The sequence below is a fragment of the Homo sapiens genome, chromosome 6, assembly GCF_000001405.40.
Source record: "Homo sapiens chromosome 6, GRCh38.p14 Primary Assembly".
Taxonomy (NCBI): Eukaryota; Metazoa; Chordata; class Mammalia; order Primates; family Hominidae; genus Homo; species Homo sapiens.
The window spans coordinates 139,862,850-139,876,950 of record NC_000006.12 but is presented as its reverse complement, the minus strand read 5'-3'; positions in this window follow the sequence as shown (position 1 = coordinate 139,876,950).

The window sequence follows — 14,101 nt, the reverse complement described above, 5'->3', positions numbered from 1 at the left end:
CCCGGCCAAGGGTGACCTAGTTATGACATCTGAAATCACCATGCTCACTGTGGAATCCCAGATTGATCAGATTAAGCTGGCCAACTTGGTGAGTGTTCCTTTTCATATGAGATTCCTTAGAAATTCTGCATTTGGTCAAAGAAGAGTTCTTAGGCCATAGAATGCATTGACTTACACACACAGGTAGCAAAAGGATAGGAATGCTTGGTGACATTCAAAAATACTGCTTTGCTTTATGTATGTACAGATTGCAATGTTTTATTTTTAAACTTCAAAGCTACCCAAAGTACCCAAGATAAACCCAAAAGCACCTCAAATAGAAATGGCAAAAACACCCACTTCTTTAAATTATCTTTGTGAATATATTTTATTGTTTACTATCACATTATTACACTACTTTTCCTGCTGAATACAAGAGGAAAAGAAAAAATGAATTTACCACTAAATGATCCAATTTGCTAATATTTCCACACTGCACTTATGATAGATTTCACAAGAGTATTAGTGTATCCAGCTCATCAATATTTAAACATTCTAAATAAATCAATGACAAGAATAAATAATGCTAAAATGCTAAAATACTGCTTAAGGGAACATATTGCCATACCAAAAATTATTGCAAAGCGTAGAAATAGGAATTAAAAAAAAAGACAAGGCTGAAATTAAAATACTGTCCACTTACTAAATAGTTGTCCTAAATGAGCATGTATCAGGTGTTTATAAATTTAAAATTTTCCATTGATAATCAGCAAGTTTATATACTGTATTAGTCAGTTCTTGCACTGCTATAAAGAAATGCCTAAGACTGGGTAATTCATAAAGAAAAAAAGGTTTAATTGGCTTATGATTCTGCAGACTGTGCAGGAAGTATGGTGGCATCTGCTCAGCTTCTGAGGAGGCCTCAGGAAACTTACCATCATGGTTGAAGGCAAAGTGGAAGCAGCACCTCGCATGGCTGGAGCAGGAGGTGCTACACACTTTTAAACAACCAGATCTTGTGAGAACTCTGTCATGGGAGCAGTACCAGGGGCATAGTCTAAACCATTCATGAGAAACTGCCCGCATGATCCAATCACCTCCCATCAGACCCCACCTTCAACACTGGGTATTACAATTAGACAGGAGATTTGGGCAGGGACACAGATCCAAACCATATCATATACAATGCAAATTTGATAGTTTTCTTTCATGGTTTGATTGTTTAATGGATATATTCTGTCTGTATTAGGAGATTCTTAGCACACTAAACAAACTGTTAAACAAATTTCAATAATAAAATTAGTAGAAAACTATGCAAAAGTGACTGTACTGGAAACTCTGAAATTCACTCATTGATAAAATGAATGTATACCAAAGATAAACGATGAATGATATACACCAGGAAAGCTTTGTTTGGAAAGCTAGAAAGCTAAAGCCAGATTTAATTGAAACTTCCTAAAAATGCTAAAGGATAAATATTAAGAATGGGATAAAATGGTTTAATGTTAGTAGGTGGCTATCAAAAACCACTCAAATACAGCTCTCAAATATGCCAGAAGTTTAATGCTGGGAAGAATAGGAAGAAGATGAAAACTAACCAGGTTACATCCTGAGGGGGGGAAATCATCATTGCTAAAATGATGGGATCTTCTGAGATGCACCAGCTATTGAGATATCAAGTCCAAGGAGGTCAGTGGTTTTACGGAATACAAAATGTGAGCTCTTTGATTTCAAGAAGTATGTCTTACTTATCTGTATAACCCCAGTAGCTGACGTCATTTCACATTCAATAAATACAGAAGAAAGGATAGAAGAAAGAAAGGAATGGAAAGAGGGAGAAAGGAAGAGGACCAGGTTATGAGACATAATATGTACATTTTATTATTTTAAATGACCTAAAATATCTAGACTCAAGAAAATCATCTTATAGCTTATAGAGAGTTGTCCTAATTCTCAGAAAAGGGAAATTACATCCTGAGATTTGTACGTAAGTAACATTGAAGTTGAATCTCCAGTCATTTTCTGGAACAACCTGTTAAACAGAGACAAGGTAGACTCTTAGAAAATAGCACAGTAAACACTAGGAGCCTGCACGATTCACTAAAAAAACTTAGCCCCTGTTTTATTTTTAATTGTATCACTGGATTGTAAATTAATAGGGATGCTTCCAATATAGTTCATCTTCAAAAGGTATTTGGCCTCATGACACCTTTGCTTGTTTCTACAATTATGTAGACTAGGCATTCTTTGGGCACTTATATCACAAAAGTGATTATTAATAGGATTTTATCAGCCAGAAAGGCTTCTAATATTGTGTTTGCAGAATTATTTCACAACCCAGTCCTAATGTGTTTTAAATGGATAAGTTGGCTAAACCTGGAACATATGTCCTAAAGCTAGGAGAAATAGCAATGGCTAAAGATGCAAAATTATCTTAATAAACTAAAATGATACTCTTAATAAAAAGATCAAAATGTAAACGGATAAATGGTAAACTTTGCTTGTAGGGTAACTAATACATTCCATGGGGATTTGCTTATATAAAAAAATCTTAGTAATTTTAGTTAACCAGAGCGTAAGGATGAGCTAACTTATTCACAGTTGTCCAAGCAGTTCATGAATAGAGTTCAGGGGGTATACAAATTTGAAAGGGGAAAAAGCATTATTTTCACTAACTTTTGGCAGAAATCTAACATTTAGTTTCATTATGGATGTAGGCAAAACAAAACAGTAGTGTTGGCAGTACCTGTAACTATGTCAAAAATAGTAGACACAGATATTTCCCTATCACATTATAATTTCTGTGAAAATCTCAAAATGGTCATTATGCTTCACTACTTCAAAATTAAGATAATTATTAGGCCCACCACTAGATCTTGCTACTCATACATTCATAAAGATATATATGGCTGGGCGCGGTCGCTCACGCCTGTAATCCCAGCACTTTGGGAGGCCAAGGTGGGCAGATCACAAGGTGAGGAGATCGAGACCATCCCGGCCAACACAGTGAAACCCCGTCTCTACTAAAAATACAAAAATTAGCTGGGCGTGGTGGTGCATGCCTGTAATCCCAGCTACTCGGGAGGCTGAGGCAGGAGAATCACTTGAACCCATAAGGCAGAGATTGCAGTGAGCTGGGACCATATCACTGCACTCCAGTCTGGCGACAGAAAGAGACTCCATCACAAAAATGATAATAATAATAATTATATATATATATATATATATACACACACACACACACACACATAAACATATATAGTACTAAATAATATATTTTGCTAGCTGTATTTTAATATAATTTATTGGGAAGTAAGTGGCATAGTAATGTTTCATGGAAAATCTGCTAGTCCAGTTCACACCTGTACAGATCATGCTTGAATTTGCATTCACGTTTTATTGAAAATATTAACAATTGGAATAAATTAGGGGTGTGTGGGGGAAAAGCAATGTCCAGCAAGACTCAAGCCTAGGAATTATATTATGAGAAACATAACTCCTCTAGAAGCAAATACTAATTAGCACAAGACACTAGAGAGAAACCATGATGTGATGAAAAAGATGATGTGCATCAATTTAGACAGAACTAAAAGCGTATCCCACCTCCACTGCTTATCGTCCTGTTATCTTAGGTGGCTATTTAACTCTCTGATTCTCAGTTTTGATGTCTATATCTTGAAGATAATACATACAGCAGTGCACAGTTGGAATGAGGAACAGAAAAAAATGTATTAAAGACTAACAATGCCTGGTACGTAATAGAATCTCAAAAGTTGTGTTGTGGTTGGCATGGTCTTATCAAGAAAACCAAGCCTTCACATTTATATGCCCAGGTCTGCCTCATCAGGGGTGGAAGATTTGTGTAGACCCCTCTACCTTCAGGACTGTTATATGAAAATTGAACAGCTCTGCTTTATTTTGCTCTAGGGGACAGAAACAGGACAAATAGTGCACGACAGCTTTTAGTTAACTGTCATAAAGAACTGCCTAGCAATCAAATTGTTCAATGATGGACTTTGATGCTCCATAAAATAATGAGACTCTTGCCTGTGTGTGTGTTTAAGGAAACAGTAGATTTCCCTGTACTCTGGTTGGGGTGGGGAAAGAGCTTGCCAACATGGGAGGCTGCCCATGGGGCTCACAGCTTCCTGCCAACTGCAAGGCTCTAGGAGTCTCTATAGCCTCATCAGTGAGGCTAAACAGAAAGAATATATCAAGTTGTCAGATTCAACAAATGTTGTTTTTCCTCCACTGCTGAGGACCATAGTCATCATTTAAACGATGAGATCACTAATTTGAGAATAGAATTTCCAGCCTCTGGTAAAATGGACATAATATTGGACAGGCAACATTTAAATTTCAAATAGGTAAAATGACAATCATAGCTATAGCATTCTAACACGAGCTAAAGTTCAATTTTGTAATAATTAATGACTACATAAATGACAGTAATGATAACAAAAAGGTACATGAGTATGCTATCGTCAAATAAATGTTTAAATAGGCAACTGCTTTTTCTGGAAAATTATGATCCTGAAGTTTGTTCCAAACAATACCAGCAAGGCCTTTTTAGGAAAAAGTTCATCTCCAAAAACAGTCTAGTAGCAGGTTGAGAATTTGAACAGCAGCAAAGGAATCATAAACATTTTCTTGCCAGATGTACTGCCCAGATGTAAGGACACTCAATGTTTCAGCAAGCAAGGAAAGGCAGAGAGAACCAGGAGAGCTGGAAAACAATACACAAGTTAACCATTTGTTTTAATAACTACTTAAATACAAAAAATATTTATCATTTATTATATAGTTAACAAAAATAACTTTTTTCTTTTTCCTTCTTTTTTCCCTCAGTTTTCTCCTCTCTCTCTCTCTCTCTCTTCACCTCCCCTCCATCCCCCTCTGGTCATTTCCTCTCCCTTAAGGGGCCCCTTGAATTGCTTACAAACTCTGAAGTTTCCTCATGTTTCCACACTTTGAAGTGTCCCCTTCCCCCACTCTATCTCCATTCTGCAAAATCTATTCTTCAAAAAGAGAAATAACTTTTTCCAAAGAAAAGTACATCCTGAGAGAACTACAGTTGATCAAGTCATTCACATTACTAAATAAGCTAACCACAGTTTTTTTTAATGAGCAAATTATCATACTATTTAGAGCTATTTGGATGCACACAGATATTTACTATTATATTATAGTTATCTACATATAGAAAAAAAAAACTATAAGAAAGAGAGTTCAGGCTGGGCACAGTGGCTCATGCCTGTTATTCCAGGTACTTTGAGAGGCTGAGGCGGGTGGATCACTTTGAGCTCAGGAGTTCAAGACCAGCCTGGGCAATGCAGAGAAACCCTGGCTCTACAAAAAATACAAAAATTAGCTGGGCATTGGTGGCTCGAGCTTGTAGTCCCGGCTACACTGGAGGCCGAAGCTGGAAAATTGCTTGAGCCCAGGACGGGGAGGTTGCACTGAGCTGAGATAAGGTCACCTGCACTCCAGCCTGGGCAACAGAGTGAGAACGTGTCTCAAAAAAACAGAAAGAAAGAGAGAGAGAGAAGGAAGGAAGGAAGGAAGGAAGGAAGGAAGGAAGGAAGGAAGGAAGGAAGGAAAGAGTTCAGTAAACATGTCAGTATCTAAAGATTTTTCAAATAAAGTGTTTATACATTACATTCTGGCATACTACATAGATTCATGTTATATATTTGACTTTGGCAATAATTATTTTAATCCTTTTTATAAAGATACCACAACCTATATTAAGTTGTAACTTTGATATCTGAATTGGCACATGATTAAATGTTGTGATGTCCCTGCAAATGTTCCAGGAGGAAAAGTCACTCTCAATACAACACTACCTTGGCGTGTCCACTTAGCACACAGAAAGTGCCCCTGAGGGTAAATCTTCTATTCAGAAGTATGGTCCCAGGACCTTGACCCATCCACACATTCAGAGTGTAGTTTTTCCACAGAATGGTGTATAAACTCCATCCCAATTTATTCAAATGCTATGAGAAATATAACTTCTAAAGGGACCAGCTCATTCTCTTTGTAGAAGGGAATCAGAAAGAGAGTTCAAAAGATGAAGAGAATGTCTAATGGGACAGCCTGAGGTGGCTTATCAAGGTTGGGTTTATAATTGGGGCTGGACAGGCCAGTTTCCCAGACCAGATACTCACTCTCCTGGAGAGGGCTAGAATAGGCACCACTATGAACAGCCTTCTTCTGTTTCTTCATAACTGACCAATATTCTGCTCATTATATTTTTCTTTAAATATAATTTAAAATAGTCAAAATTGATGACTTTTAAAATAGTCAAAATTGATGCTCTGGCTATAATTTTTGTTTGTGTGTTTGTTTTTTGAGATGGAGTCTCGCTCTGTCCCCCAGGCTGGAGTGCAGTGGTGTGATCTCGGCTCACTGCAAGCTCCGCCTCCTGGGTTCATGCCATTCTCCTGCCTCAGCCTCCTGAGTAGCTGGGACTGCAGGCGCCTGCCACAACTCCTGGCCAATTTTTTGTATTTTTAGTAGAGACGGGGTTTCACCATGTTAGCCAGGATGGTCTTGATCTCCTGACCTCGTGATCCACCCGCCTCGGCCTCCCAAAGTGCTGGGATTACAGGCGTTAGCCACCGCGCCTGGCCTGCTCTGGCTATAATTTTATACTTTTAACATGATTTTTTACTTCTTTGCTCTAATATACTAATCTGTTGATGTCAGTGTTTTACTCTAAGGTGATGGCATAAGGAGATTTCTATTATAAATACAAATATAAGAAATGTTTTTACCTATTGATAACCTGAAATGTAACCATGGAAATTTTTGTATAAACATACCAAAAGTGATGCATTTAGAAGCTACTGCCTGTAGCTTCTAGTGCCAGACACACTATTGGTCCCACCATATGCCACTTGTATGAGCATTGGTCAAATTGTTCAATCTCTTATAGCCTCAATTTGATCATATATAAAGTGATAATAGCATCTCCCTCCCAAGTCATGTATGAAGACTTAATTGGTTGCATGACATGAAGAGTGTGATACACTAAGGAGCTGTGTGGGACATTCCTCATTTGATTTATTTTCACTCATTACTTACTTCTCTCCAAAAAAATGAACCTTTGCATTATTTCCCACCGTGTCTCTAACAAGTCAAATTACTTTATGTGAGACTGCTCATTTGCATGCCCACATCTTTTCCCTCCAATAACCTATGGTGATATCTCTCTGACAAGCATCAGCAAAGTCACCTTCAGGATGAACATCTCCTCGTACATGCATTATCCCCTCACAGCATTGCTTTCTCAATCTGTGCTATGTCAATTTGCACTTGAAGACACATTGCTCAGTTTCATTACTCCTTATGTGCCTCATTGCCTTAATATTTTAACTTCTTGAGAGTAAAGATTTTGCTTTCTTCTTCTTTTAAACTGGCCTGCTCAATCACCTAAACCCTCACCCCTACCCCTAGCTAATGTAACAGTGGCATTAATTTCATGTGGACTGTCAGGCTAATGAGAAATTATTTTAGCACTACAGAAGGGGGAAGTCTACAGAGAAGCTGTTAGGTATATCAAAGCAACAGAATAAAGACAGAAATCAAGGAAGGTCAGAAAATTACTTACCCTTCCTTTCTTCTAAATGGTAAATGATTTATTTGCTTCAGTCTCTTAAGGGATACAGGTACCTTCCCTGTGGCTGCTTTCTACAAATAGTGGCAGCAAAGAAAGTCAGAAATGCAAGTCTCAAAGCAGAGATAACAGAAACACTTGAAGAAATAAGCTACAATAAATCAATAGGTACTTAGAGTTACAAAGAAATTAAGGAGTAAATGCAAACATTTTTCTCAAGTGTGTCCTAAGTCACCATCTAAAACGTCTTTTATAAAAAACTATGTTAAAAAATAGAGGTCTACAGTGATACATATAATTGAATACAGGTAGACTGTAAATGTAAATAGTTAAACATGTCCACAACTTCTGAGTAAGTTCTCTGTTAACCGAAGTAAAAAAAGATAATTTCAGAATGGATGAAAGGTAAGGTTCTGCACCGATTAAAACCAGATTAAAAAAGAAGAAACACGAAGCTAAATAGGTAGTTATTGTTTCTGTTTTTCTGTCCCATAAAAACCCCTGAAGAACTTTTTCCCTCCTACCATTTCCCAAAGGAGACACATTTATTCCAGGAATGTGCTTTTAGCAGGATGGAGAACTGCATTTTTGTTACAAGTGAATGACACCTAGGAATGAGTGTTTAAATAGTGGAGTGATTTGGAGGTGAATTAGTAAATAGGATTCAAATCAGAGCAAAATCAAATCATAACAGACAAATGGGAAAACAAATTCCATCCTGATGTGTGTTAGTCAGATTTTTACTCAATAATAAAAATGTGAAAATAGCTTTGGAATTTAAATCTCATTTAAATGCACGCCCAAGAAGACTTTATAATTCTAAATGAATGTAATAACTTCAATATTGTTTAACCTATATAAGATTTTGATTAGCATGACTTGATGAATGGGAATTTTCTCTTTAAAAATATTGCAGAATGTTTACAAAAAAAATAGCTACTTCAGTTAGACATGGAAATTGTTTTTAAAATGTTTTATTACGATTTTTAAAAACCTTCTTGGGAATTACTTATTTAATTTTACAATACTTTCTAAAAAGCACCCTGGCAAACATTTCTTATTAAAATTAAAGTGGATTTATGTTGATGTTTTTAAACTTTCACAGGACTTCAGGACATCCTGAGATAATTTTTGATACTTGGGAGTCACAAAACATAGATAGTAAATCTTTTACCTGAAAGAAGACTTCAGTATAGGCATACCTGGAGATATTGCAGGTTCAATTCCAGACCACTACAATAAAGTGAAAATCACAATAAAGGGAGTTACACAAACTTTTAGTTTCCCAGTGCATATAAAAATTATGATTACAGGCCAGGTGCGGTGGCTCACACCTGTAATCCCAGCACTTTGGGAGGCCTAGGTGGGCGGATCAGGAGGTCAGGAGATCGAAACCATCCTGGCTAACACGGTGAAACCCTGTCTCTACTAAAAATAGAAAAAATTAGCCAAGCGTGGTGGCGGGCACCTGTAGTTCCAGCTACTCGGGAGGCTGAGGCAGGAGAATGGCGTGAACCCTGGAGGTGGAGCTTGCAGTGAGTCGAGATCACACCACTGCACTCCAGCCTGAGTGACAGAGCCAGACTCCATCTCAAAAAAAAAAAAAAAAAAAAAGAGTTATGATTACACTATATTATAGTCTGTTAAGTGTACAACATCATTATGTCTGAAAAAAGACACAGTTTACATCTTCATTAAAAAATACTGATACGGGGAGGGGGGAGAGGATCAGAAAAGATAACTACTGGGTACTGGGCTTAATACTTGTGTGATGAAATAATCTGTACAACAAACTCCCATGACACAAGATTACCTATGTAACAAACCTTCACAAGTACCCCTGACCCTAAAACAAAAGTTAGAAAACAAAAACTTTATTGCTAAATAATACTACTAACAATCTTCTCAGCCTTTGTCAGGTTGTATTTTTTTTCTTTTTTTTTTTTTTTCAGACGGAGTCTCACTCTGTCACCAGGCTGGAGTGCAGTGGTGCAATCTCGGCTCACTGCAACCTCCGCCTCACGGGTTCAAGTGATTCTCCTACCTCAGCCTCCCGAGTAGCTGGGACTACATGTGCATGCCACCAAGCCCGGCTAATTTTTGTATTTTTAGTAAAGACGGGGTTTGGGGTTTCACCATGTTGGCCAAGATGGTCTTGATCTCTTGACCTCAGGTGATCCATCCACCTTGGCCTCCCAAAGTGCTGGGATTACAGGCGTGAGCCACTGCACCCAGCCACGTTGTAACATTTTTGCTGGTAGAAGGTCTCACCTTACTAATGGCTGCTGATTGATCAGGGTGGTGGTTGCTAAAAGCTAGGGTGGCTATGGCAATTTCTTTTTTTTTTTTTTTTGAGACGGAGTCTCGCTCTGTCGCCCAGGCCGGACTGCGGACTGCAGTGGCGCAATCTCGGCTCACTGCAAGCTCCGCTTCCCGGGTTCACGCCATTCTCCTGCCTCAGCCTCCCGAGTAGCTGGGACTACGGGCGCCCGCCACTGCGCCCGGCTAATTTTTTGTATTTTTAGTAGAGACGGGGTTTCACCTTGTTAGCCAGGATGGTCTCGATCTCCTGACCTCGTGATCCACCCGCCTCGGCCTCCCAAAGTGCTGGGATTACAGGCGTGAGCCACCGCGCCTGGCCGGCAATTTCTTAAAATAGGGCAACAATGAAGTTTGCCACATCAATTGACTCTTCCTTTCATGAAATATTTCTCTGTAGCATGCTACAATGTTTGATAGCATTTTACCCACAGGAGAACTTCTCTCAAAATTGAAGGGAATCCTCTCAAAACCTGCCACTGCTTTATTAAATAAGTTTATGTAATATTATAAATCCTTTGTTGTCATTTCAACAATGTTTACAGCATCTTTACCAAAAGTAGATTCCATTTCGGGAAACTACTTTCTTTGTTCTTTCATAAGAAGCAACTCCTCATTCATTAAAGTTTGATGATTGTAGCAATTCAGTCACATCTTCAGTTCTAGCTTTCCACCACGTATGCAGTGATTTCCACCACGTATGCAGCTATTTTCTTCCACTAAGTCTTGAACCTATCAAAGTCATCCAGGAGGGTTAGAATCAACTTCTTCCAAACTTGTGTTAATGTTGATATTTTGACCTCCATCCATGAATCACAGATGTTTTTAATGATATCTAGAAAGGTGAATACTTCCCAGAAGGTTTTCTTTTTTTTTTTCTTTTCTTTTTTTTTTTTTTTTTTTTTGATATGGAGTCTCGCTCTGCCAGGTTGGAGTGCAGTGGCACCATCTCAGCTCACTGCAACCTCTGCCTCCCGGGTTCAAGCAATTTTCCTGCCTCAGCCTCCCAAGTAGCTGGGACTACAGGCGTGTGCCACCACGCCCGGCTAATTTTTTGTATTTTTAGTAGAGAAGGGGTTTCACCGTGATAGCCAGGATGGTCTCGATCTCCTGACCTTGTGATCTGCCCTCCTTGGCCTCCCAAAGTGCTGGGATTATAGGTGCCCGGCCCAGAAGGTTTTCAATTAACTTTCCCAAATCCATCAGAGAAATCACTATCTATGGTAGCAATGACCTTACAAAATGTATTTCTTAATAAAACTTGAAAGTCAAAATTTCCCCTTGACCTGGTGGGCTGCAGAATGGATGTTGTGGTAGCAGGCATGGAAACAACATTCATCTCCTTGTACATCTCTTGGGTGACTAGGTGCATTGCCAATGAGCAATACTATTTTGAAAGGAATCTTTTCTTCTGAGCAGTAAGTCTCAACAGTGAGCTTAAAATAGTCAATAAACCATACCATAAACAGATGGGCCATCTTCCAGACTTCGTTCTTTTCTTTATAGAGCACAGGCAAAGTAGATTTAGCATCACTCTTAAGGGCCCTAGGACTTTCAGAATGGTAAATGAACATTTGTTTCAACTTAAAGTCATCAACTGCATTAGCCCTTGAGAAGAGTGTCAGCCTGTCCTTTGAAACTTTGAAGCCAGGTATTGGCTTCTTGTCTTCATGAAAATCCTAGATAGCATCTTCTAATCTAAGGCTGCATTGTCTTCATTAAAAATCTGTCAGAGTAGCCCCCTGTGTTAGGCTGCTCTTGCATTGCTATAAAGAAATACCAGAGGCTGGGCACGGTGGCTCATGCCTGTAATCCCAGCATTTGGGAGGCCTAGGTGGGTGGATCACGAGGTCAGGAGATCCATACCATCCTGGCTAACATGGTGAAACCCTGTCTCTACTAAAAATACAAAAAAATTAGCCAGGCGTGGTGGCGGGCACCTGTAGTCCCAGCTACTTGTGAGGCTGAGGCAGGAGAATGGTTTGAACCTGGGAGGTGGAGGTTGCAGTAAGCTGAGATTGCACCACTGCACTCCAGCCTGGGCAACACAGCGAGACTCCATCTCAAAAATAAATAAATACCTGAGACCAAGTAATTTATTAAGAAAAGAGGTTTAACTGGCTCATGGTTCCGCAGGCTGCACAGGAAGTGTAATGCTGGCACCTGCTTAGCTTCTGAAGAGGCCTCAGGGAGATTTTACTCTAGCAGAAGGTGAAGCAGGAGTAGACACATCACGTTGCTTGCGTGGGAGCAAGAGAAAGAATAGCGGGGAGGTGTCACACACTTTTAAACAACCAGATCTCGTGAGAACTCACTCGCTATTGTGAGGACAGCACCAAGTCATGAGGTATCCACCTCCATGACCCAAACACTTCCCACCAAGCCCCACATCCAACATTGGGAGATTACATTTCAACATGAGATTTAGAGGGGACAATATCCAACCCATATCACTACCTTCATCAATTATCCTAGTCAGATCTTCTGGGTAACTTGTAGCTTTTACATCACCACTTGTGACTTATGGAGATACCATTAAACTTTATGAACCAAACTTGACTAGTTTCAAACTTCTCTCGGCAGCTTCCTCATCTCTCTTAACCTTCACAGAATTAGAGTTTGGGCCTTGTTCTGGATTAGGCTTTGGTTTAAGGGAATGTTGTGGCTGGTTTAATCTTCTACCTAGACCTCTAAACCTTTCTCCATATCAGCAATAAGGCTGTTTCTCTTTCTTATTATTCATGTGTTTATTGGAGTTGCAGTTTCAATTTCTTGAAGATTTTCTCTCTTACATTCACTACTTGGCTAACTCTTTGGTGCAAGAGGCCTAGCTTTTGGCCTATCTCAGCTTTCAACATGCCTTCCTCATGAAGCTTAATCATTTCTAGCTTCTGATTTCCAGTAAGAGACCTGTGACTCTTCCTTTCACTTGAACACACAGAGGCCATTGTAGTGTTATTAATTGGCCTGATTTCAATATTGTTGTGTCTCAGCAAATACAGAAGTGTAAGGAGAGGGAGAGAAACGGGAATAACCAGTCAATGGAGCAGTCAGAATACACACATTAATTGATGAAGTGCACCATCTTATATGGGCACAGTTTGTGGTGCCCCAAAGCAATTACAATAGAAACATCAAAGATCACCATAATAGATATATTAATAATGAAAACATTTGAAATATTTAGAGAATTACCAAAATGTGACACAGAGACACAAACTGAGCACAAGTTTTTGAATGATACCAATAGACTCGTTCAACTCAAGGTTACCAAAAACCATCAACTTGTAAAAAAAAAAAAAAAGCCACATCTGCAAAGCATAATAAAATGAAGTATGTTCACACTCATCAATTATGAGAAATTTAAAGTACAATGAATAAAGAAAAATCTGCAGCATGAAAAAGTAAGTACGTGTAACATATTTATCTAGAGGAAGTCTTTGGACTTGAAACATGCATATGACTAAGTGTTCATAGCTCTTCAAAAAACAAACTCCAGTCAAAACTTAAAGAAGAACAGATGGATAGAAAAGAATGGCAGCAGGCTATGTGAGTTTTGGAAACAGGTTTGTAGGGATAAAGTGGCTCAGAGAGATCATTGCCTTGGGGTTACTCCAAGATTAATGTGTAGGCACATTTGTGATAAATGGGGAAATTTTGATCAGAAGTTATTGGAAAAGGCAATCTATGCCACAGTGAGTGTGTGTGTGCGTGTGTGTGTGTGTGTGTGTGTGTGTGTGTGTGTGTGTGTGATTTACATGTTTAAATAACAGGAGACATCTATTTTGAATCCAGTTGAATTATAATCCTTTTCTCTAGAAAGTAGATACAAGATATAAAATATGAACGAAGCTAGTTTTGTTTGTTTGTTTGTTTTGTTTTGTTTTGTTTGAGACAGGGTCTCACTCTGTTACCCAGGCTGGAGTGCAGTGGTGTGACCACAGCTCACTGCAGTCTCAACCTCCAAGGCTCAGGTGATCTTCCTACCTCAGCCTCCCGAGTAGCTGGGACTACAGGTGTGCACCACCATGCCTAGCTGGTATTTTTGTATTTTTTGTAGGAACGGGGTCTCACCATGTTGCTCAGGCTGGTCTCAAACTCCTAGGCTCAAGTGATCCTCCCAATTTGGCCTCCCAAAATGCTGGGATTACAGGCATGAGCCACTGCACCTGGCCATGGATGAAA